Here is a 25,898-nt window from a genome sequence, read left to right as displayed (position 1 = left end):
GCAAACAGGGACAATTTGACCTCCTCTTTTCCTAATTGAATACCCTTTATTTCCTTCTCCTGCCTAATTGCCCTGGCCAGAACTTCCAACACTATGTTGAATAGGAGTGGTGAGAGAGGGCATCCCTGTCTTGTGCCAGTTTTCAAAGGGAATGCTTCCAGTTTTTGCCCATTCAGTATGATATTGGCTGTGGGTTTGTCATAGATAGCTCTTATTACTTTGAAATACGTCCCATCAACACCTAATTTATTGAGAGTTTTTAGCATGAAGGGTTGTTGAATTTTGTCAAAGGCTTTTTCTGCATCTATTGAGATAATCATGTGGTTTTTGTCTTTGGCTCTGTTTATATGCTGGATTACATTTATTGATTTGTGTATATTGAACCAGCCTTGCACCCCAGGGATGTAGCCCACTTGATCATGGTGGATAAGCTTTTTGATGTGCTGCTGGATTCGTTTTGCCAGTATTTTATTGAGGATTTTTGCATCAATGTTCATCAAGGATATTGGTCTAAAATTCTCTTTTTTGGTTGTGTCTCTGCCTGGCTTTGGTATCAGAATGATGCTGGCCTCATAAAATGAGTTAGGGAGGATTCTCTCTTTTTCTATTGATTGGAGTAGTTTCAGAAGGAATGGTATCAGTTCCTCCTTGTACCTCTGGTAGAATTCGGCTGTGAATCCATCTGGTCCTGGACTCTTTTTGGTTGGTAAACTATTGATTATTGCCACAATTTCAGATCCTGTTATTGGTCTATTCAGAGATTCAACTTCTTCCTGGTTTAGTCTTGGGAGAGTGTATGTGTCGAAGAATTTATCCATTTCTGCTAGATTTTCTAGTTTATTTGCGTAGAGGTGTTTGTAGTATTCTCTGATGGTAGTTTGTATTTCTGTGGGATCAGTGGTGATATCCCCTTTATCATTTTTTATTGTGTCTATTTGATTCTTCTCTCTTTTCTTCTTTATTAGTCTTGCTAGCGGTCTATCAATTTTGTTGATCCTTTCAAAAAACCAGCTCCTGGATTCATTAATTTTTTGAAGGGTTTTTTGTGTCTCTATTTCCTTCAGTTCTGTTCTGATTTTAGTTATTTCTTGCCTTCTGCTAGCTTTTGAATGTGTTTGCTCTTGCTTTTCTAGTTCTTTTAATTGTGATGTTAGCGTGTCAATTTTGGATCTTTCCTGCTTTCTCCTGTGGGCATTTAGTGCTATAAATTTCCCTCTACACACTGCTTTGATGCGTCCCAGAGATTCTGGTATGTTGTGTCTTTGTTCTCGTTGGTTTCAAAGAACATCTTTATTTCTGCCTTCATTTCGTTATGTACCCAGTAGTCATTCAGGAGCAGGTTGTTCAGTTTCCATGTAGTTGAGCGGTTTTGAGTGAGATTCTTAATCCTGAGTTCTAGTTTGATTGCACTGTGGTCTGAGAGATAGTTTGTTACAATCTCTGTTCTTTTACATTTGCTGAGGAGAGCTTTACTTCCAAGTATGTGGTCAATTTTGGAATAGGTGTGGTGTGGTGCTGAAAAAAATGTATATTCTGTTGATTTGGGGTGGAGAGTTCTGTAGATGTCTATTAGGTCCGCTTGGTGCAGAGCTGAGTTCAATTCCTGGGTATCCTTGTTGACTTTCTGTCTCGTTGATCTGTCTAATGTTGACAGTGGGGTGTTAAAGTCTCCCATTATTAATGTGTGGGAGTCTAAGTCTCTTTGTAGGTCACTCAGGACTTGCTTTATGAATCTGGGTGCTCCTGTATTGGGTGCATATATATTTAGGATAGTTAGTTCTTCTTGTTGAATTGATCCCTTTACCATTATGTAATGGCCTTCTTTGTCTCTTTTGATCTTTGTTGGTTTAAAGTCTGTTTTATCAGAGACTAGGATTGCAACCCCTGCCTTTTTTTGTTTTCCATTTGCTTGGTAGATCTTCCTCCATCCTTTTATTTTGAGCCTATGTGTGTCTCTGCACGTGAGATGGGTTTCCTGAATACAGCACACTGATGGGTCTTGACTCTTTGTCCAATTTGCCAGTCTGTGTCTTTTAATTGGAGCATTTAGTCCATTTACATTTAAAGTTAATATTGTTATGTGTGAATTTGATCCTGTCATTATGATGTTAGCTGGTTATTTTGCTCGTTAGTTGATGCAGTTTCTTCCTAGTCTTGATGGTCTTTACATTTTGGCATGATTTTGCAGCGGCTGGTACCAGTTGTTCCTTTCCATGTTTAGCGCTTCCTTCAGGAGCTCTTTTAGGGCAGGCCTGGTGGTGACAAAATTTCTCAGCATTTGCTTGTCTGTAAAGTATTTTATTTCTCCTTCACTTATGAAGCTTAGTTTGGCTGGATATGAAATTCTGGGTCGAAAATTCTGTTCTTTAAGAATGTTGAATATTGGCCCCCACTCTCTTCTGGCTTGTAGGGTTTCTGCTGAGAGATCAGCTGTTAGTCTGATGGGCTTCCCTTTGAGGGTAACCCGACCTTTATCTCTGGCTGCCCTTAATATTTTTTCCTTCATTTCTACTTTGGTGAATCTGAAAATTATGTGTCTTGGAGTTGCTCTTCTCGAGGAGTATCTTTGTGGTGTTCTCTGTATTTCCTGAATCTGAAAGTTGGCCTGCCTTGCTAGATTGGGGAAGTTCTCCTGGATAATATCCTGCAGAGTGTTTTCCAACTTGGTTCCATTCTCCCCATCACTTTCAGGTACACCAATCAGACGTATATTTGGTCTTTTCACATAGTCCCATATTTCTTGGAGGCTTTGCTCATTTCTTTCTATTCTTTTTTCTCTAAACTTCCCTTCTCACTTCTTTTCATTCATTTCATCTTCCATTGCTGATACCCTTTCTTCCAGTTGATCACATAGGCTCCTGAGGCTTCTGCATTCTTCATGTAGTTCTCGAGCCTTGGTTTTCAGCTCCATCAGCTCCTTTAAGCACTTCTCTGTATTGGTTATTCTAGTTATACATTCTTCTAAATTTTTTTCAAAGTTTTCAACTTCTTTGCCTTTGGTCTGAATGTCCTCCTGTAGTTCAGAGTAATTTGATCGTCTGAAGCCTTCTTCTCTCACCTTGTCAAAGTCATTCTCCATCCAGCTTTGTTCCGTTGCTGGTGAGGAACTGCGTTCCTTTGGAGGAGGAGAGGCGCTCTGCTTTTTAGAGTTTCCAGTTTTTCTGTTCTGTTTTTTCCCCATCTTTGTGGATTTATCTACTTTTGGTCTTTGATGATGGTGATGTACAGATGGGTTTTTGGTGTGGATGTCCTTTCTGTTTGTTAGTTTTCCTTCTAACAGACAGGACCCTCAGCTGCAGGTCTGTTGGAATACCGTGCCGTGTGAGGTGTCAGTGTGCCCCTGCTGGGGAGTGCCTCCCAGTTAGGCTGCTCGGGGGTCAGGGGTCAGGGACCCACTTGAGGAGGCAGTCTGCCCGTTCTCAGATCTCCAGCTGTGTGCTGGGAGATCTCTCTTCAAAGCTTTCAGACAGGGACATTTAAGTCTGCAGAGGTTACTGCTGTCTTTTTGTGTGTGCCCTGCCCCCAGAGGTGGAGCCTACAGAGGCAGGCAGGCCTCCTTGAGCTGTGGTGGGCTCCACCCAGTTTGAGCTTCCAGGCTGCTTTGTTTACCTAATGAAGCCTGGGCAATGGCGGGCGCCCCTCCCCCAGCCTCGCTGCCGCCTTGCAGTTTGATCTCAGACTGCTGTGCTAGCAATCAGCGAGACTCCGTGGGCGTAGGACCCTCCGAGCCAGGTGCGGGATATAGTCTCGTGGGGCGCTGTTTTTTAAGCCGGTTGGAAAAGCACAGTATTCGGGTGGGAGTGACCCGATTTTCCAGATGCGTCCGTCACCCCTTTCTTTGACTCGGAAAGGGAACTCCCTGACCCCTTGCGCTTCCCAAGTGAGGCAATGCCTCGCCCTGCTTCGGCTCGCGCACGGTGCGTGTACCCACTGACCTGTGCCCACTGTCTGGCACTCCCTAGTGAGATGAACCCGGTACCTCAGATGGAAATGCAGAAATCACCCTTCTTCTGCGTCGTTCACGCTGGGAGCTGTAGACCGGAGCTGTTCCAATTCGGCCATCTTGGCTCCTCCCCTGGACTCTTTATTTCTTAAGGTCAGAGGCTTTATTTATCTTGCTTTCCATTTTACTTACACAGTGCCTTCAGCATAGATGTTCAACAGATGTTTTATGAATATGTGAAAAACATGTTAGCTAATTTGAATAAACAATCTTTTGAGATTAAAATCTGCATTCTTTCTTATCACTATCAGAATGGATGTGTTATTGTAAATGAAGTATGAGGAAAAATCAAGATCAAAGGTAGCAGAGCATTTAGCAATAAAGAGCATAGAAAGGAGGGAAGGAAGAAAAGAAGAGAAAGAGGGAAGAAAGGAAGAAAGAAAAAGGGATGCCAGGAATAGGAAGTGACTTTTTTGGCCTTTGAAACTGTTCATCATTGTATTAACTAATCATATCCCTTAACCTCTTCCTATGTTGTCAAATATATGTTTTTCTTATTTTTGTATGTATTTTAAATTTGACAGTGCTTTCTTATAACTTGATATTTATCACTTCTATTTCCTTTAAGGAAATGTGTGTTACTCAATCTCTTTATTCATCACTAATTTTCCAAGACTTGATTTCAGCCAATTTAAAAAATAATTTAAATTTCAAAATTTCTGGGTCAGTAGAAGAATTCTTAAAGTTAATATAATTTCCTCTTTCATAAATGTGTGTGTATGTTTTTTATATTTTAGGCCAAGCTCTGATTTCACAGCTTTCGATGCATATATGCTTACAGTAGCTAAATTCCTTCCTTCTTCCTCACATGAAAGCTACAATTGCCTTAAAACTAAGGTTTCTACAGCAGATTGTTTTCACACCCTGAGTAACTCAGCAACATTTTACTATCAGGACTTAAAAGGAGGATAGTCAAGATGCATGAAATATCATTTGACTGTTCTCTTTAGCAATGAGCCTGTTCAAGTCTTTTTCCTGTTTTTAAATTGGATTTTTTGTCTTTTTCTTATTGATTTTTATTTCTATATCCTGGGTACAAGTTCCTTGTCGGATATATGTATTGCCAATTTACCCTCATATCATTTGACTTGTTTTTTCAATCTTCAGACATAAAGGAGCATCTATTATATAATTCTGTTCTATGAAGTTCAAAAAGTAGGTTAAACTTACCTAGAAGAATAGTGCCTACCTTTGGTGGGGTAGAGAAGATTGAAAATGACTGGGAGCGTGCAAGAAGAGGCTTCTCTGGCATTAGTAATATTCTACATTTTTATCTGTATGGAAGTTCCATATGCATATGCATTTCAAAATTTATTCAAGGTCTACAATTAAGATTTGTGCAATTTGTACATATCTCAGTACAACATAAAAGAAAGAAGAAATCAAATGCATGAACAAGCCTTTTAAAACACTTACGTTTAGTCACTGTCAAAAGAGGAGTGCTCAAGTCATTTAAAAGAAGAAGGCCAGGGTGGGGTGGCTCATGCTTGTAATCCCAGCACTTTGGGAGGCCAAGGAGGGTGGATCATCTGAGGTCAGGAGTTCAAGACCAGCCTGCCTCACATGGTGACACCCCATGTCTACTAAAAATACAAAAAATTAGCCAGGCATGGTGGCGGGGGCCTGTAATCCCAGCTGCTTGGGAGGCTGAGGCAGGAGAATCACTTGAACCCCAGAGGTGGAGGTTGCAGTGAGCTGAGATTGTGCCACTGCATTCCTGGGCAACATAGTGAAATTCCATCTCAAAACAAACAAACAAACAAACAAATAAACAAAAAAACCAAAGAAGAAGAAGAAGATAGTCTTCTACTTTTCTCAGTGGTATCAGACCAACTCATGCACACCTGGATATTTCACAGGTATGCTATGTGCCCTGGCTTAAGTGTGGCCCCAAATTAACCCACCATTTTCGGTAATTTAGCTGTATTAACCATAGTCATCTTCCAACCATTCAAGTTACCATATGGGGATATCCAAATAGTCTGTCAAAAGGATTGCATCAGTCAAAGGAACTGTGCTTGTTGAACTCTGGTTTATTTGGTTTGTCTAGGCATATCATAAATCATGTGGTAGGAGCAAACTTTTAGCCATTAAACTATTTCTGGTTAGCAGTCTTCAGGGAAATCTTTTTTTTTCCCCTTCTTTCACTTAAAATTGGCTTAAAGCTCTCCTTCCTTGTTACATCCAACTTATGGTCATAGATGGAAATGTTATTTAGTCTTTACTGCAACAATCTGTAGAAATCTTTGCCTAAATGAAGGATCTGGTTAGACATCTTTTCTGGGTGACTGCCCTTCTGTTTATTCAAAATGAAGGAGACACACAAAGTTTTAATGTGGCCCTAACTTTTTTCTCCTGTGATCTCTGTATATACCTTTACACAATGTTAAGCTGCTGCCTAAATTGTTCCTTCTTATTTTAAAGAGTTGCAAAGGATATAGTTTCCAGTTTATTGTAAATATTGCCATTGTAAACTAAAACTATACAACAGAAAGGGAACAATGGAATCCAAATGGAATCTAAATACCACAGTGATATCAAACCCACCATCAACCATTTAAAAAATCTGAACAATATGTCTTAATAGTTGGCAGTTATTTTTCTTGAACTCATACTGTCATCCATTTTTCTCCGTCAGATTTAACCTAATATAATACACTTTATTGCTTGAAAATATTTTATTGTATAGCTTATCTTAATTATATGCAACAAAAATGTATTAATTGAAATTAAAATCTCTATTTCCCATAATCATAAAACTATGTTAAAATTTTTGTCAGGTTTTAATTATGATAAAAATTATATTAGTAGTACATAATTGATCAAACTAATATGCAAATATTATAAATTTTGAAAAACATTTAAAGGATTTTAAAAATTTTTAAATTATACTTTAAGTTTTGGGATACATGAGCAGAACATGCAGTTTTGTTAAATAGGTATGCACGTGGCATGGTGGTTTGCTGCACCCATCAGCCCGTCACCTACATTAGGTATTTCTCCTAATGCTATCCCTCCCCTAGCCCCGACAGGCCCTGGTGTGTGATGTTCCCCTCCCTATGTCCATGTGTTCTCATTGTTCAACTCCCACTTATGAGTGAGAACATGCGGTGTTTGGTTTTCTGTTCTTGTGATAGTTTGCTGAGAATGATGGTTACCAGCTTCATCCATGTCCCTGCAAAGGACATGATCTCATTTCTTTTTATGACTGCATAGTATTCCATGGTGTCTATGTGCCTCATTTTCTTTATCCTGTCTAACATTGATGGGCATTTGGGTTGGTTCCAAGTCTTTGCTATTGTGAATAGTGCCACAATAAACATATGTGTGCATGTGTCTTTGTAGTAGAATGATTTATAATCCTTTGGGTATATACCCAGTAATGGGATTGCTTGGTCAAATGGTATTTCTAGTTCTAGATCCTTAAAGGATTTTTTTTGTTTTGAAAGCCATGATGTATTTGTGGAGAAAGAGGAATATATATAATCTATATATATAGATTATATATATAGATAGATAGATATAGATATATATAGATATATATACATATATAGATATAGATATATATAGATATTGATATATACACACACATATACACACACATATGAGCAATATATATAAATGTATTTGTGGGGATATATATAATATTTTAAAATAATAAATTTATTTTATAAATATATACTAAATATAAATATATATTAAATATATTTACTGTATATTTATTATATGTAAGACACATATTTCATGTATTTTTATTTATTTATTTATTTATTTAGAGACAGGGTCTTCCTCTGTTACCCAGGCTGGAGTGCAAGGAGTGATTTTGGCTCACTGCAACCTCTGTCTCCCGGGCCAAGTGATTCTCCTGCCTCAGCCTCCTGAGTAGCTGGGATTACAGGTATGTGCCACCATGCCAGGCTAATTTTTTGTATCTTTAGTAGAGATGAGGTTTCGCCATGTTGGCCAGGCTGGTCTTGAACTTCTAGCCTCAAGTGATCTGCTCATCTTGGCCTCCCAAAGTGCTGGGATTATAGGCGTTTGCCACTATGTCCACCCAATTTTATTTCTTTTTTTTTTGGTTGTTTTTTATAGTTGAAAAATACAGATAAATATTTTTAACATAAATAAGTAGATTGAAATAAATCTTACTTTTTAGAAGAATGTTGCTATTTTCAGTTCTTTTGCGGTCTTATTTTAAAAATCACACAGTGAGATAGTAGTAAGATTATATTTAAACAGTCAGTTAGATTAGAATAGCCTTCAATTTCATTAGAAATAAAAACTTAGAAGTCATCTGACTTGCCAAAAGATTTAACCCAGTCATTAGCCATTGACTTTCTAAGCACCATAAAGGCTTTCCCAAGGCTTGTCAAGTGACGGTTTTTCCTGATACTTTTTCATGTAAAGGTGCCTTATTTAACTCAGTATACTCAGAAAGAGTTGGTAAAATAAAAATATCACTTATTTCAATACATCTGTGTCAATACATATTTTTTATAAAAAGTAAAACGTATATATATTTCCATCAAAATGTTTAATTGTAGACTTAAATCTTTCAATTCATGAAAAATGTTCACCTTATAACCTGGCTGAAAAATTCAATTCTCGTTGTCAAACAAATTGGACAAAACAGACTTGCTTTCTGTCACAAAATGTCTGATTTCATTTTTCGATTGAAATTTAAAAAATTGATATATTTTCCCATGATAACCAGAAATGATTCTGATGGATGAATCAGGGATTGCATCTTAAAATAAGTTTGTCACTTAGACTGAGTAAAGTGGCTGCACCTTCAATATTTTGTGCCTAATCCCTCTGAGGACTCTCTCTCAGGAGCAATGTCAGTACGCAGAGGAGGGACAAAGTGGAGCAATGAATAGAAATGGTCTTCATTCCTGCTACCCTTCTCCACAGTATATCTAAATTCAAAACATTCCAGTATGGGCCAAGTTGTCCTGTCTAGAATTCCACTCTTAGCCTTTGATGGAAATGGGTATAATAAATGCAAGGAAAGATGCAAACCCTATCACACATTTATGGTGTCTCAATTTAAGAAGTCTTTATAAATATCAATATTTCAAGTTGTCCTTTGATAGGCACCATGGAAATTTATACATCAGGACAGTGCACCAAGGTGAGACCTTAAATGAATGAAGGCAGGTACACCATTTCTTTTTAAGTGGGAGAAAACTGATTATCAAAGGGCATGTAGTAAAGGAGAATATGTTGGATTCCTAAACTGATTTTCTGATAATAGACTATGTTTACTTCTTGTTTGAAAATAACAGTATGTGTATGTATATACACAAATATATATGTATAAGGTGTGAAAAACAAATTAGCTAAGATGATTTTGAATGTTGGCCTTTGGTTTTTATTTAAGCTTGACAATAAAAGACATTTTGTTATTTTATTACTTTTTTAATGAACAAAGAGGCAAACATTTACTTTTCTTCTATTTTTCTTTTACTCTTCCTTTTAAATTTTTATATGTCAGATATCACAGGATGCTATAATAGTTCAATAAATCTGAAATTTAAAAAACTGACTTGCAGAGTTAAAAATTTTGTTTTTCTGAAAATGTTACTTTTACTGTCTAGCTAGAGAATAAGGTAGGGGATTCCTGGAAAACAGAATCTGTTTGAAACTGATGTAAGGAAATCCAAAATGGCATTGGATTGTAGTTACTAGTACTTTAAAGAAGTTAGTTCACAAATTAAAAGAGAAATGGGTAGAGATACAACTTTTACCTTTTTCATTTAATTTGTTTGATTTGTAAAACAAAGCCTTAACTCCAATCAGTTACTCTGTGCTTGATTAGAGGGCAGGGAAGAGAAGAAAATGCCAGAAGGAGATGATCAAATATTTGTATGAAAACATGGCTTATTAATTCAAATGCATAGTACTGTTTCTAAAAAGTATACATTTCTGAAAGTATAAGCCCATTTGAAAATTAGGAAAAGAGGATAAAAAATTCTCAAAATTACATCACTTAGAAGCTACCACATAATATTTTGTTTCAGTCATTTGCCCATACATGTGTATTTTCATGTAGTTGAAATCATAATGCGTATATAATATGACTTGCAAGACTTTTACTTATCATATTTTATCATAAAACTAAAAATTTTAGAAACCTAATTTTGATGACTGTATAGTGTTCCCTTGCATAGATATGCCATAATTTATGTCATTTCCAATTCTTGATCTTTTATTTCACTGTAATGAATTTTTTTCACATTTCTGTTTCATACGTAGGATAGATTTTTCTTTAAATGGGATTTTTAGAGCAAAAAAACCCAGAGATTTTGAAAGTTTCTATTGCTGAATTCTTTACAGAAAGAATGCTGAAACTAACAGTTCCACCACCAGGGTAGGAGAGAGATAATTTCTTTGTATTCCCTACAGCACTGAGTACTAGCTATAAAATGATTTTTACAATGGGTAGGTGAAAATGCATTTCATATTAAAAATGCATATTATTCCAAATTTGTTCACTAATTCTTCTCTCTTTCTCTATGATTGTTGTGTGTGTATGTGTGTGCATGGGTGTGTGTTTAGATCATTTATGCTAGAGCAAAAGTTATTCAAAAATAACATTATTAAAAAATATTCCAGGTTTTATAAACATTGATGGATATTATCTACAAAGTTATGGAGATTGAATAAACAAAAAAACAGACTTAAAATATCCTAGATGTTTAGTACAGATATGATGTAACTCTTTTGAAGTATTATTAATTTCAGTAAAGTTTCATGCTGAAATTTCTTCATAGTTACTTTCTTTTTATTTGTAATGTGGCCTTCAATATATGCCACGAGTTTCTCTAAATGCCTTCTCATTGATATACTTGTATTATACTGTGATAGGCAGAATAATGAATCCCAAATATTTCTGTGTCCAAATTCCTGTGAAATGTGAACGTGGTACATTACTTGGCAAAAGGGAGTTAAAATTGAAGTGGTATTAAGGCTGCTGATCAGCTGACTTTATATTAGGGAGATTATCCTGGATTGTTTGGGTGGGAATAACATAAATACCAGGGTCTTTAAAAATGGAAGAGGGAGGAAAAAGAGGAGGACAGGATAATATAATGTGAGAAGCACTCAAACTGCAATTACTGGCTTTGAATTTGAAGGAAGTGGGCGATGAACCAAGGAATACAGCCAGCCACTGGAAGCTGGAAAAGCAAGAAAACATATTGTCCCCTAGAGCATCCAGAATAAATGCAACCCTGCCAATACCTGGCTTTTAGCTCAGTGAGACCTGTGTCAGACTTCTGGCCTACAGAAATATGGTAATAAATTTGTGTAGTTTGAACCTAGTAAGTTTGTAGTATTTTGTTACAGCAGCAATAGCAAACTAATACATAAACAAATGCTTTTTTTGTGATGCTGTAAGGTTCTAGAATATTAAAACTTTCCTTGAGTCATAGACTTTTCCTCATTTTATTATCATTCAAATTTCAAATGCTTTTTGCCAAAATACTTATTTATATATTTACCACAATTAGATTTTTTCCTCAATTGACCTTAATAATATGAAACAGATATTTATTTATTAATGTCACTTTACATTTTTTATGAACATTATTGATGGTTTTCATTTAATATACTTATCAAAATCTATTACCTTTACTATTTCAATTGCCATTTGTGAGATTGGCTCACAGCCCCAGTTATATTCTTTAATGTTTTTACTGGATAGAATTGAGGCCACTATCTGACAAAGCAAAAGATCATACTGATTTTTCTACTAGTCAATTAAACCAAATTTTTTATTTATTTTTTATTTTATTATTATTGTACTTTAAGTTTTAGGGTACATGTGCACAATGTGCAGGTTAGTTACATATGTATACATGTGCCATGCTGGTGTGCTGCACCCATTAACTCGTCATTTAGCATTAGGTATATCACCTAATGCTATCCCTCCCCTCTCCCCCAACCCCACAACAGTCCGCAGAGTGTGATGTTCCCCTTCCTGTGTCCATGTGTTCTCATTGTTCAATTCCCACCTATGAGTGAGAATATGCGGTGTTTGGTTTTTTGTCCTTGCCATAGTTTACTGAGAATGATGATTTCCAATTTCATCCATGTCCCTACAAAGGACATGAACTCATCATTTTTTACGGCTGCATAGTATTCCATGGTGTATATGTGCCACATTTTCTTAATCCAGTCTATCATTGTTGGACATTTGGGTTGGTTGCAAGTCTTTGCTATTGTGAATAATGCCACAATAAACATATGTGTGCATGTGTCTTTATAGCAGCATGATTTATAGTCCTTTGGGTATATACCCAGTAATGGGTTGGCTGGGTCAAATGGTATTTCTAGTTCTAGATCCCTGAGGAATCGCCACACTGACTTCCACAATGGTTGAACTAGTTTACAGTCCCACCAACAGTGTAAAAGTGTTCCTATTTCTCCATATCCTCTCCAGCACCTGTTGTTTCCTGACTTTTTAATGATTGCCATTCTAACTGGTGTGAGATGGTATCTCATTGTGGTTTTGATTTGCATTTCTTTGATGGCCAGCGATGGTGAGCATTTTTTCATGTGTTTTTTGGCTGCATAAATGTCTTCTTTTAAGAAGTGTCTGTTCATGTCCTTTGCCCACTTTTTGGTGGGGTTGTTTGTTTTTTTCTTGTAAATTTGTTTGAGTTCATTGTAGATTCTGGATATCAGCCCTTTGTCAGATGAGTAGGTTGTGAAAATTTTCTCCCATTTTGTAGGTTGCCTGTTCACTCTGATGATAGTTTCTTTTGCTGTGCAGAAGCTCTTAAGTTTAATTATTAGATCCCATTTGTCAATTTTGTCTTTTGTTGCCATTGCTTTTGGTGTTTTAGACATGAAGTCCTTTCCCATGCCTATGTCCTGAATGGTATTGCCTAGGTTTTCTTCTAGAGTTTTTATGGTTTTAGGTCCAACATTTAAGTCTTTAATCCATCTTGAATTAATTTTTGTATAAGGTGTAAGGAAGGGATCCAGTTTCAGCTTTCTACATATGACTAGCCCGTTTTCCGAGCACCATTTATTAAATAGGGAATCCTTTCCCCATTGCTTGTTTTTCTTAGGTTTGTCAAAGATCAAATAGTTGTAGATATGCGGCGTTATTTCTGAAGGCTCTGTTCTGTTCCATTGATCTATATCTCTGTTTTGGTACCAGTACCATGCTGTTTTGGTTACTGTAGCCTTGTAGTTTAGTTTGAAGTCAGGTAGCGTGATGCCTGCAGCTTTGTTCTTTTGGCTTAGGATTGACTTGGCAAGGCGGGCTCTTTTTTGGTTCCATATGAACTTTAAAGTAGTGTTTTCCAATTCTGCGAAGAAAGTCATTGGTAGCTTGATGGAGTTGGCATAGAATCTATAAATTACCTTGGGCAGTATGGCCATTTTCACGATATTGATTCTTCCTATCCATGAGCATGGAATGTTCTTCCATTTGTTTGTATCCTCTTTTATTTCCTTGAGCAGTGGTTTGTAGTTCTCCTTGAAGAGGTCCTTCACATCCCTTGTAAGTTGGATTCCTAGGTATTTTATTCTCTTTGAAGCAATTGTGAATGGGAGTTCACTCATGATTTGGCTCTCTGTTTGTCTGTTATTGGTGTATAAGAATGCTTGTGATTTTTGCACATTGATTTTGTATCCTGAGACTTTGCTGAAGTTGCTTATCAGCTTAAGGAGATTTTGGGCTTAGACAGTGGGGTTTGCTAGATATACAATCGAGTCATCTGCAAACAGGGACAATTTGACTTCCTCTTTTTCTAATTGAATACCCTTTATTTCCTTCTACTGCCTAATTGCCCTGGCCAGGACTTCCAATGCTATGTTGAATAGGAGTGGTGAGAGAGGGCATCCCTGTCTTGTGCCAGTTTTCAAAAGGAATGCTTCCAGTTTTTGCCCATTCAGTATGATATTGGCTGTGGGTTTGTCATAGATAGCTCTTGTTATTTTGAGATACGTCCCATCAATACCTAATTTATTGAGAGTTTTTAGCATGAAGTGTTGTTGAATTTTGTCAAAGGCCTTTTCTGCATCTGTTGAGATAATCATGTGGTTTTTGTCTTTGGTTCTGTTTATATGCTGGATTACATTTATTGATTTGTGTATATTGAACCAGCCTTGCATCCCAGGGATGAAGCCCACTTGATCATGATGGATAAGCTTTTTGATGTGCTGCTGGATTCGTTTTGCCAGTATTTTATTGAGGATTTTTGCATCAATGTTCATCAAGGATATTGGTCTAAAATTCTCTTTTTTGGTTGTGTCTCTGTCCGGCTTTGGTATCAGCATGATGCCGGCCTCATAAAATGAGTTAGGGAGGATTCCCTCTTTTTCTATTGATTGGAATAGTTTCAGAAGGAATGGTATCAGTTCCTCCTTGTACCTCTGGTAGAATTCGGCTGTGAATCCATCTGGTCCTGGACTCTTTTTGGTTGGTAAACTATTGATTATTGCCATAATTTCAGAGCCTGTTATTGGTCTATTCAGAGATTCAACTTCTTCCTGCTTTAGTCTTGGGAGGGTGTAAGTGTCGAGGAATTTATCCTTTTCTTCTAGATTTTCTAGTTTATTTGCATAAAGGTGTTTGTAGTATTCTCTGATGGTAGTTTGTATCTCTGTGGGATCGGTGGTGATATCCTCTTTATCATTTTTTATTGCATCTATTTGATTCTTCTCTCTTTTCTTCTTTATTAGTCTTGCTAGCGGTCTATCAATTTTGTGGATCCTTTCAAAAAACCAGCTCCTGGATTCATTAATTTTTTGAAGGGTTTTTTGTGTCTCTATTTCCTTCAGTTCTGCTCTGATTTTAGTTATTTCTTGCCTTCTGCTAGCTTTTGAATGTGTTTGCTCGTGCTTTTCTAGTTCTTTTAATTGTGATGTTAGCGTGTCAATTTTGGATCTTTCCTGCTTTCTCCTGTGGGCATTTAGTGCTATAAATTTCCCTCTACACACTGCGTTGAATGTGTCCCAGAGATTCTGGTATGTTGTGTCTTTGTTCTCATTGGTTTCAAAGAACATCTTTATTTCTGCCTTCATTTCGTTATGTACCCAGTAGTCATTCAGGAGCAGGTTGTTCAGTTTCCATGTAGTTGAGCGGTTTTGAGTGAGTTTCTTAATCCTGAGTTCTAGTTTGATTGCACTGTGGTCTGAGAGACAGTTTGTTATAATTTCTATTCTTTTACATTTGCTGAGGAGAGCTTTACTTCCAAGTATGTGGTCAATTTTGGAATAGGTATGGTGTGGTGCTGAAAAAAATGTATATTCTGTTGATTTGGGGTGGAGAGTTCTGTAGATGTCTATTAGGTCTGCTTAAACCAAATTTTTTTAAACACAAACATGATATAAAAAATGTTCAGGGTATGAATGTCTTTAAAAGTTTGTGTTAATAGATTTATTCATTCAGTAAACATTTATTGAATTTTACAATATGGCAAGTTTTTTGTAAAACGCTGCTGATAGAGTGATAAAAGGCCAATTTCTTCTCTTAGGGAAATCATAGTTTTATCAAGACAAATTTACAAGAGTAGGAAAATGGCAGGCTAGACTTATGGTTAACAGGCAAAAGGAACATATAGGAAGCCCCATTATCTTTCCTTCAAGCCATTGTAAATTTTTAAAACTGAACCATCAGTTTTCTTCCTGGTCTCGATATAGTCTACTTTTGAGGCAGAAACCTGAGTAATGCATTTCAACATAAGTTGGATCATGACACTCCTAAGCACAAATGCCCCCAGTGGCTTCTCAATTCACTCACAGTAAATGTGGAGTCTGCACAAGGCTTACAAGGTGAAAGACCCAACACATCTCTCCCATCTTCCATCACCACTCTGCCCCTGATGAGTTAAAGCACATGGGCATGCTTTCCAGTTCCTAAAACACACGAAACATGTCCCTGTTTCAGGTTCTTTGCACTTGCTGTTCTGGCAGTCTGGAACACTCGTCCTCTGGACATACGCCTGCTTAGTTCCCTCACTTCCTTAGGATTGCTGCTTAAATTTCATTGTGTCATTAAAGATTTTTCCTGACTACCCTGTTTAACAGCAACTATGCCACTAGTCAGGGTGCCCTAGATCCCCTAGCCTGTTTTATTTTTCTGCCGTACTATGCATTTTATTTTTACTTACGTGTTTTACTTATATGTTTATTCTCTTTCATCCCCATTATGAAGTAAGATCCAGGAGGAACTGTAGTTAATGTGATTACTGCTTGATTTCCAGAGTGCAGAGTAATACTTGATACACAGTAGGTGCTCAAATATTTGTTGAATTAATGATTGAAGAGAATCTTATTTAATCTCAAGTTGTCAAAAGATTTCCTGTGGATGTTACATTTGAAGTTGGATCTGAAAGGTAACTAAGAGTGTCTCTGAAGGGAGAGAAAAGGGAGAGAAAAGGGTATTCTAAGCAGAGGAAGAGGCAGGTAGCAGGGCAAGAGGCCATGAGAAAGAACAGCCATGTGAGCCTGTACTGTTTCATATTGCCCAAGGTTTAGGTGTAGAAGGGCAGTGGCTAGAGATGAGGCTGAGGTACATATGACAGGGCTGACCCAGAATAACTTGTATATTTGTCTGAGGGTTTAGATTTCAATTTCTAATGGGTCATCAATGATAGGTCTTAAGCAGGATTATGACAGAGTAAAATTTATGTTTTGAAAGATCACTCTGGTGGCCAAGTTTAGAATGGACTGGAACTGAGTAAATGTAGGGAGAAGAGTAAAGAGAAGGCTATGATTCTGGCCAAAATTTGGAACCCTAGTTATTGTGATTATAAGTCCACAGTTTCTACTTTTACAAATGTAATTATCTTCCAACACCATTAGATTCTAAAGAGATGAAAGTTCTCTAAGAATATTTAGCCTCAGCCAGGTGTGGTGGTGCACACCTGTAGTCCCAGCTATTCATGAGGCTGAGGCAGAAGAATCACTTGAATCTGGGAGGCGGAGGTTGCAGCGAGCAGAGATCATGCCACTGCACTCCATCCTGGGTGACATAGCGAGACTCTGTCGAAAAAAAAAATGAGCCTTACCTCCAAGAGAATTCATAAATTGTTTCATGTTCATGTCTTATCTTCCCAACTCAGAAGTGCAGATTCTTTGCATTGCCAGTGGAAAGAGGGTAAACACTGAAGATAGATAGACAACTACCTGTCGAAGACAGTGGAGTTGCTATGGTATTTTATAGAATGAATGAACACATTAAACATGGTTATGCATAGTCCTAGTATTCTGGCTTTGGTATGTAAGGACTTTAGAGGGTGGGGCTTCTAGCTTTAGAGGATGGGGAAACCTTTTCTATTACAAGAATTTGGACAAAATATTTGTTCTGTTTCTGGCTCTGGTTTTGTTTTTCAAATTTCTTTTATTATTTTTATTATACTTTAAGTTCTAGGGTACATGTACACAATGGGCAGGTTTGTTACATATGTATACATGTGCCATGTTGGTATGCTGCACCCGTTAACTCATCATTTACATTAGGTATATCTCCTAATGCTATCCCTCCTCCCTCCCCCAACCCCACAACAGGCCCTGGTGTGTGATGCTCCCCCTACCCGTGTCCAAGTGTTCTCATTGTTCAATTCCCACCTATGAGTGAGAACATGCAGTGTTTGATTTTCTGTCCTTGCAATAGTTTGCTGAGAATGATGGTTTCTAGCTTCATCCATGTCCCTACAAAGGACATTAACTCATCCTTTTTTACGGCTGCATAGTATTCCATGGTGTATATGTGCCATATTTTCTTAATCCAGTCTATCATTGTTGGACGTTTGGGTTGGTTCCAAGTCTTTGCTATTGTGAATAGTGCCACAATAAACATACATGTGCATGTGTCTTTACAGAAACATGATTTATAATCCTTTTGGTATATAACCAGTAATGGGATGGCTGGGTCAAATGGTATTTCTAGTTCTAGATCCCTGAGGAATCGCCACGCTGTCTTCCACAATGGTTGAACTAGTTTACAGTCCCACCAACAGTGTAAAAGTGTTCCTATTTCTCCACATCCTCTTCCACACCTGTTGTTTCCTGACTTTTTAATGATTGCCATTCTTACTGGTGTGAGATGGTATCTCATTGTGGTTTTGATTTGTGTTTCTCTGATGGCCAGTGATGATGAGCATTTTTTCATGTGTCTTTTGGCTGCATAAATGTCTTCTTTTGAGAAGTGTCTGTTCATATCCTTTGCCCACTTTTTGATGGGGTTGTTTGTTTTTTTCTTGTAAATTTGTTTGAGTTCTTTGTAGATTCTGGATATTAGCCCTTTGTCAGATGAGTAGATTGCAAAACGTTTCTCCCATTCTGTAGGTTGCCTGTTCACTCTGATGGTAGTTTCTTTTGCTGTGCAGAAGCTCTTTAGTTTAATTAGATCCCATTTGTCAATTGTGGCTTTTGTTGCCATTGCTTTTGGTGTTTTAGACATGAAGTCCTTGCCCATGCCTATGTCCTGAATGGTATTGCCTAGGTTTTCTTCTAGGGTTTTTATGGTTTTAGGTCTAACATTTAAGTAAAGTTCATATGGAACCCAAAAAGAGCTTGCATTGCCAAGACAATCATAAGCCAAAAGAACAAAGCTGGACACATCACGCTACCTGAGTTCAAACTATACTACAAGGCTACAGTAACCAAAACAGCATGGTACTGGTACCAAAACACAGATATAGACCAATGGAACAGAGCAGAGCCCTCAGAAATAATACCACACATCTACAACCATCTGATCTTTGACAAACCTGACAAAAACAAGAAATGGGGAAAGGATTCCCTATTTAATAAATGGTGCTGGGAAAACTGGCTAGCCATATGTAGAAAGCTGAAACTGGATCCCTTCCTTACATCTTATTTTTCAAATTTCAAATAAATCTTTGGTGATAGCTCTGCTTTATGCTGACTTTCCTTACAAGTTTCAAAGACATTCAAATCTAGGGAATTGTAGGATATGTCAGTAACTCATGCAGAGGAAAAAGGAGAGAAAATCTTTGAAAAGCAGTCACTGAAGCCTGGGAGTAATATATGCAGTGTTAGATGGTATATAGAATTACAATAACATAGTATGGTATAATCTTTGCCTTAATGATACCTATTATTTAATGAGAGTAAAATAAACAGTATAGTCACTATTATTAAAGCCAGCATTTATTGAGAGCATCTCATATGGCGGGCACAATGATAAGTGATTTTGTAGAGTAATAATTTAGTATTTATGTAAGCCTTACGGGATAATTGCTATCATTATTTTTATTTTACAGGTGAGGAAAGTGAGGCTTGGAGAGACTAAGTAACTTGCCCAGTGTCACAAAACTAGAAGGCAGCAGAGCCAGTATTTGAACCCAGATCTGTCGACTGTCAAGCCCATATTCTATTATACACAGTGTTTTTACCTGAAAACACAAAATTACATATTTAGAAGAATTGTATAAATAAACAGTTTTATATACATATGCATATTTATCCAGTTTGTATTACTGGAGCAATTAAGAGCAAGATAATCTTTGCTCTGTTCTAATTGTGCACTTGGCTAAACTCAAATACCAAAATGCAGAAATTACTAACCTTCCTCTGTATTTTAAATTATACTTTAGGGAGTGGGTGGAAGGTTTCCTTTTTTTTTTTTTTTTTTTTTTTTTTTTTTGAGAGAAAGTCTGTCTCTGTTGCCCAGGCTGGAGTGCAGTAGTGAGTGGTGGGTGGCGGATGGCGCGATCTTGGCTAACTGCAACCTCCGCCCACCACCGCGCCATCCGCACCCCCTTCTCGCCCCCCACATTCAAGCAGTTATTGTGCCTCAGCCTCCGGAGTAGCTGGAACTACAGGCATGCGACAACATTCCTAGCTAATTTTTTCTGGCCTCAAGTGATCCGCTGGCCTTGGGCTCTCAAAGTGCTGGGATTTCAGGGATTACAGCCACCTCGCATGGCCAAGTTCGGGAGTGGGGGGAAGGTTTTAATGGTTTTATCAGATTGCTTTTCCCTGAGAAGTCAAAAACAAAAAACAAAAAACAAAACCCCAGAAACAAAACAAAAAAAACCCACATTTTTTCAAAGTGTATTTGCTTTCCTTTGTTACTTTTATATTGTTAAGTAATATTTGTTATTAAGAAATTTAATTTGTTTAGTACTCTAGGTTGTCATCTGTTTTTTTAAGTAGGCCACTTTGTAAAAATTTGGCATGTACAAAAGTGCATTAACTTTTTTCAGGTCCCCATTTAGTGCGCTGCTGGAGTAATTCATTGGTCTGTTATGCATCCTGGAGTAGTTTGCTGGCAAAGTAAAGAATGTCATCTGTTAAAACTCCCGAGAATATGCTGGCTTCTGTAGATGCATAATGACTTATTAGAAAAAAAACAGAAACAACAACAACAAAAAAACAAAAACAACTCTGGAGATTCTGCTGCAGATTTTGAAGAGAATCTTCAGTGTCTCTGAAAAAATCTCACGTCTCTGAAATTCTTAAAATTCAGTAAAATCCTATTAAGTTGATATTGGTGTTTTAAAGCCAGCTAGAATTTGAAGAGTAATTCCCAAGTCATCTAAATTATATTATCTGAACAAATATAAAACTTGGAAATTTGACCCAGAGCAATGTGCATCTAGAAACATTTAATATCAAGTAAGTGTTTTTAAAAGTCTGAAAATACTCAGTATTAACTCACAATTTGTAAAGCACCTAGCAAAAAGCAAAAAGAAAGAGGATTAAAGCAGTGTTTACATTTTAGTTTTTTCTTCTGCCTTTCTTTTTTTTTTTTCTTTCTCTAAATCCCTTGTCAAATAACCATTTGTGTCAATAGCAAGTGGTTTGCCTGAAGGAACAATCTCATTTTATGCTTAAGTTGGCTCACTTAAAATCAAATAATGGTGAATTTATATATCTTTAATTCAAAGGTGTTTCTTCCTGGTCCCTGTTGTTTTAAAGAGTTGCTAAAGGATAAATCAAGCTTTTAAAGAATTAAGGTTAGTTTGATTCAGAAGTCTTATTGAGGGCTATAGACTGAGATCTCTAGCCTGGGATCCGGAGACCTGTAGAAAGGTTAGTCTGCTTGGGCACAGGACACACTGTTTCAGCCCACTGCATACATACAGGTGTTGGAGGTTCGGTGCATGCCAAAACATGTCAAACTTGCTCAGAAGTTACATTAAAGCAGCGTCACATCAAAGTTTACATGTAAGAGTGCATCTGGTTATAGATTAAGAAGCATAATCGCTAACCCCGTCCGATGTTATTTTATGTATAGGAAAAGGCAAAGACGAGGATCATTTAACTTCTAAGGAATGTAGTGATTCAGGCAAGAAACATTTTGGGGCTGTTTGCTCTATCCTGTTTTGTCTTCAAAGCATGCTTCTGGAGAGCTGTATGTTCTCACAGAGTCAGGGGCTTTGTAAAATCATGCGGGCAAGGAGAAATGAGCAAACATAGCTTCTTACGTTTGCTGCTTAGCCTCACAAAATCATTAGGACCTTATATGGACAGTCTTTAGTTTCCAAAGGTAGATGTATCTGAAATGTATTTACATGGATGGGAAACAAACTGCAGTGATATTTCATAGACTTCTCCTCCTATCATTTTCTCTTATGAGCACTTGAATGAGCCAAGGAACTCAGACTCACAGAACCTCAGTTTTTTTTTTTTTTTTTAGTCTTATTTCATTCTTACTTTCTACTCCCATCTAATGAGTAGGCAAATCTGACTTTTCTTGTGCAACACTTTTTTTTATTATTGTCTGTATTTACCTGGTTATTGGAACAAACCAAGTTCGTATTCCTACTGTCTAATTTCTGAAAATATTGTAATGGTGTTCCTGCTTTACTTAACCTCCATATTCAGTCTCTTCTGCACATCCCATTCAGGTCACCCTGAAAAATTTAATCTCCTGCTCAAGAACCTGTTGTGATTCTCATCTAAAAAAATTTTTTTGACAGAGTTTTGCTCTGTCGCCCAGGCTAAAGGGCAGTGGCGCGATCTTGGCTCACTGCAAGCTCCGCCTCCCAGTTTCACACCATTTTCCTGCCTCAGCCTCCCAAGTAGCTGGGACTACAGACGCCCACCACCGTGCCCAGCTAATTTTTTGTATTTTTAGCAGAGATGGGGTTTCACCGTGTTAGCCAGGATGGTCTCGATCTCCTGAGCTTGTGATCCACCCACCTCAGCCTCCCAAAGTGCTGGGATTACAGGCGTGAGCCACCACCCCTGGCCAATCAAGGGTCTTTTTAAGCAAACCCCAACCCTATCTTTCTAGAATTATTTCTAGTACTTAAAGTGCACCCTGTATAATCTAGGAAAACTGTGCAGCCATGTTCCTGGTATATAATCGGTTTTTCTTATATGGTTACCTTTGCTCATATTATTTTGAAAATGATCCCCAATAGTTTTATATAGATCCACTTATATAATGTACCTAAGTTTACATAGATCGGGGATACAAGCCTAAGGGCAGAGATCTTGTTTTTAACCACTGTGATATATTTGTTTAATGTTCAAATGAATGACTCATACCACTTTTTTTCATAATAATTGACAGTATTGTGTCATCCTGAGAATAGACACTTTGTGTTAGATATATTTGAGAAAAACAATTATCTGCCTAATAAACTTTTGCGGTAGTATAGAGAGTAGGTAAGAGCAGACTCTGGCCCCAGACCACCAGCATTCAAATTCTGACTGCCACTTGCTAGCTCTCTAACCTTGAACATATTATTGAGCCTCTTGGTAACTCAGTCTCCTCATTATAATTGATGTCTATTTCATATGCTTATAATGAAGATGAAATGAGTTAATATATGTAAAGCACTTAGAGCAGTGTCTAGTACTGCCAACTAATAATAGAACAGTAAAAACTAGTTATTAAAAATAGTATGCAACAAATATATTTCAGAATGTCAGAATTTAGAAAATTAAAGTGCAATACTCTCTCTTGCTTCCCTAACTTGATTTTTATTCAAATTTCTTTACTGGATACATTTTCTCCAGTGAATCCCAACCTTTGGAGATTATCAAATGAGAAGACTGCTTCTCACTGTAACCCCAATGAATGAGGATCTGTAGATACATGTGACTTGGAGTAAGCTGTTCCTTGTAATTGTTTCATAGCTAAAATTGCTTCTGTTGACCCAGGGACTCCACAACATTGCCATGAGAAATGAACATGCCGAAGGTTAGAAGGACAAAGAATCCTTAAAAATAATTATAATAGCTCATTAAAATAGTTAAAATTATGGATCAATACTCTATGACAGTCACTGCTGTATTACTTTTTATCTCATTTAAGCCTTACAACAATCAAATGAGGTTGACAGCATTATAATACCCATTCTTTTGTAGATGAAAAAATTGAGGCATGAAGAAAATATGTAATCTGTTTAAAGTCATACAACCAGAAAGTAGGGAACCAGAATTCAAACACAACCAGTCTGATTCGAGGCAAACTCTGTATCTCACAACTTTAACCAGTAAGCATATTGTCCCTTTATAGTTAATATACATGCTTACAACTTGTCTTAGGTTTGATATAAAATACCACAGACTGGGTGGTTTAATCAACAGACATTTATTTTATCACAGTTCTAGAGGCCAGAAGTCCAAGATCAAAGTGTTGGCAGTTTTGGTTTCTTGTAAGGCCTCTCTCCTTGGCTTGTAGATGGCTTCTTTCTCTCTGTGCCTTCATGTGGTCTTTTCATGGTGTGGGCAAATCCCTGGTGTCTTTCCTTCTAAATTTCCCCTTCTTTCAAAAACACAAGTCAGATTGGATTAGGGCCCACCCTAATGCTTTCATTTTAATTTAATCACCTCTTTGAAGATCCTGTCTTCAAATACAGCCTGAGGTTCTAGGAGTTAGGACTTCAACACATGATTTTGGAGTGCCACAATTCAGCCCTCAACACTTCTGTAATGTGTGACTACCAAAATCCATTCCTGGAATATGGTGCATGAAAAAACAAAAAACAAACAATCAAAGCAAGCAAATGAACAAACAAACAAAAAGCACAAACCAAAAATAAGTTTCAGGTAAAAATTTCAATCTTTATTCATATTTCTCTCAATTAATGAGAATCCAGTGGTTCTGTCAACATTAACACGTTAAATCTCTTATGCTTTTCTATTTTCTGACATTCCCAGCTCTTGGGAATCTCTCATTTTCTTATCCCATTGTACCACTCTTATCCATGCACACCTGTCCCTGTTACTTTTTTTTTTTTTTTTTTTTAAGACAGGGTCTCACTCCTATTGTGCAGGCTGGAGTGGAGTGATGCGATCACAGCTTACTGCAGTCTCGATTTCCTGGGCTCAGGTGACCCTCCCACCTCAGCCTCCTGAGTAGCTGGAACCACAGGTGCATGCCACCATACCTAGCTAATTTTTTGCATTTTTAGTAGAGATGGGGTTTTGATATGTTGTCCAGGCTGGTCTCCAACTCTTGGGCTCAAGCAATCCATCTACCTTGGCTTCCCAAAGGGTTGGGATTACAGGCATGAGCCACTATGGCCGGCCTGTCCCTGCTATTTTGCACCCTCAATCCCTTCTTCTGCTCCAAAGAGTGAAGAAAAATTCTTTGTTAGATTTTATCATTCTCTTTTGGGAATTTTCATACATGAATTTAGTTCTATTTTCCCATCTAGTTCACATTTTACTGGCAAAGAGAGATAGGGAGGGGTGTGGGCTTTCCACATTCAAAGCTTCTAACCCACCACATTAACTTTCACTGAACACTTATTATGAACCAACCCCTATGAGAAAACATTTTACATCGATCATGCTCTTTTCAATTTCACCTTACTTTTACAAGTTAGCACAAATTATTACCCTTATTTAAAGATGAAAAAACTGGTGTTTCAAGAAATTATATTATTTAGTAAGTATCACAGAGCTAGTAAATGGTAGAGCTGGGATTCACACTTTAGAATTTCGGTTCTTAACCCTGGTTACATATAGTGGCTTGGCTTTGACTATTTGATAAATTTCTATCATTGTATATAAATCACATTGATAGCAATTTCTCCCTATTTATGATGGTAAAATTTGTAAAAACTTATTTTAAAAGGGGTTATTACAATTGTCTAACACTTTAATTCTCATGATTGCTGGATATTAAAGGGGTTGAAGATTATCAAAATGAATCCATTTAAGTTGTGAAACGACTATATTGTTAAGCAATTCATATCCATACATAAAATGGCTTTTTAGAGCCCCTGGGCTGCATGCAGGTGCTAAACATAAATGGAACCCTGATGGATCTGAGAAAAAGAATCCAATGTTCCAAGTGTAAGTAGGAAAGCCAAATATTGCACTGATTCTGGCTCTGGGAAAAGTACATACTGTTATATTCCGGCACATCAGAATTTTCCAGGGATGTGCCTGGTATCTTGGAGTAAAGCCAATGTGATTTTCTGCCATCTAAGTCTTATTTCTTTATAGGTCTCTTTGCCATGTTCATTATGTAAATCATAGCTTCCTATCCCTGAATTGTAAGACTTTCCTCTTTTCTTATATAAATGGAAACACCCTCACCATTTCCCAGATATAACCATAATTTTATTCCTTTATAGCTATAGGCTTGACTTTATACAAATGTATCAAAAACAGAATTGATGAAAGGAGGTTGGCTATATGTAACCATACCAATCATTAATTATTATTACTTTTATTTATTAATATTAATGTTTAAATAACCACTAGGTTGTTTATTTTTGGCAGAAGGAGGAAGATTTTTCTTTTCTGTTTTTCTGCTTATACTTGGAAACTTAGATCTAGGCTTTAAAAAAATTATGATGTTATGAAGTTTAATTTCAAATTCATTTTACTGGTACTCAATCTTAGTTTGGCCTGGCAAATTCTTTCAGGATCTTTTGAGAGATATCATAATTTTTTACTCAACTTAGAAAAATCAACAAACTTAACAACAGCA

The 25,898-nt window shown here is 37.1% G+C and overlaps 2 annotated features.

Annotated features, from left to right (window-relative positions):
* Positions 3,173-3,768: an enhancer, noted in NCBI's record as "NANOG-H3K27ac-H3K4me1 hESC enhancer chr5:89369355-89369950 (GRCh37/hg19 assembly coordinates)". NCBI's record gives its function as "activates a minimal SCP1, AML or CMV promoter by ChIP-STARR-seq in naive H9 embryonic stem cells {active_cell/tissue: H9 hESC(naive)}" and the evidence as "EXISTENCE:reporter gene assay evidence [ECO:0000049][PMID:30033119]".
* Positions 3,769-4,366: an enhancer, noted in NCBI's record as "NANOG-H3K27ac-H3K4me1 hESC enhancer chr5:89368757-89369354 (GRCh37/hg19 assembly coordinates)". NCBI's record gives its function as "activates a minimal SCP1, AML or CMV promoter by ChIP-STARR-seq in primed H9 embryonic stem cells {active_cell/tissue: H9 hESC(primed)}" and the evidence as "EXISTENCE:reporter gene assay evidence [ECO:0000049][PMID:30033119]".

This window comes from Homo sapiens, chromosome 5 (genome assembly GCF_000001405.40).
Source record: "Homo sapiens chromosome 5, GRCh38.p14 Primary Assembly".
In the NCBI taxonomy this organism is placed as follows: Eukaryota; Metazoa; Chordata; class Mammalia; order Primates; family Hominidae; genus Homo; species Homo sapiens.
Note: the sequence above shows the minus strand (reverse complement) of the source record. Positions and strands in the feature narration are given on the sequence as shown.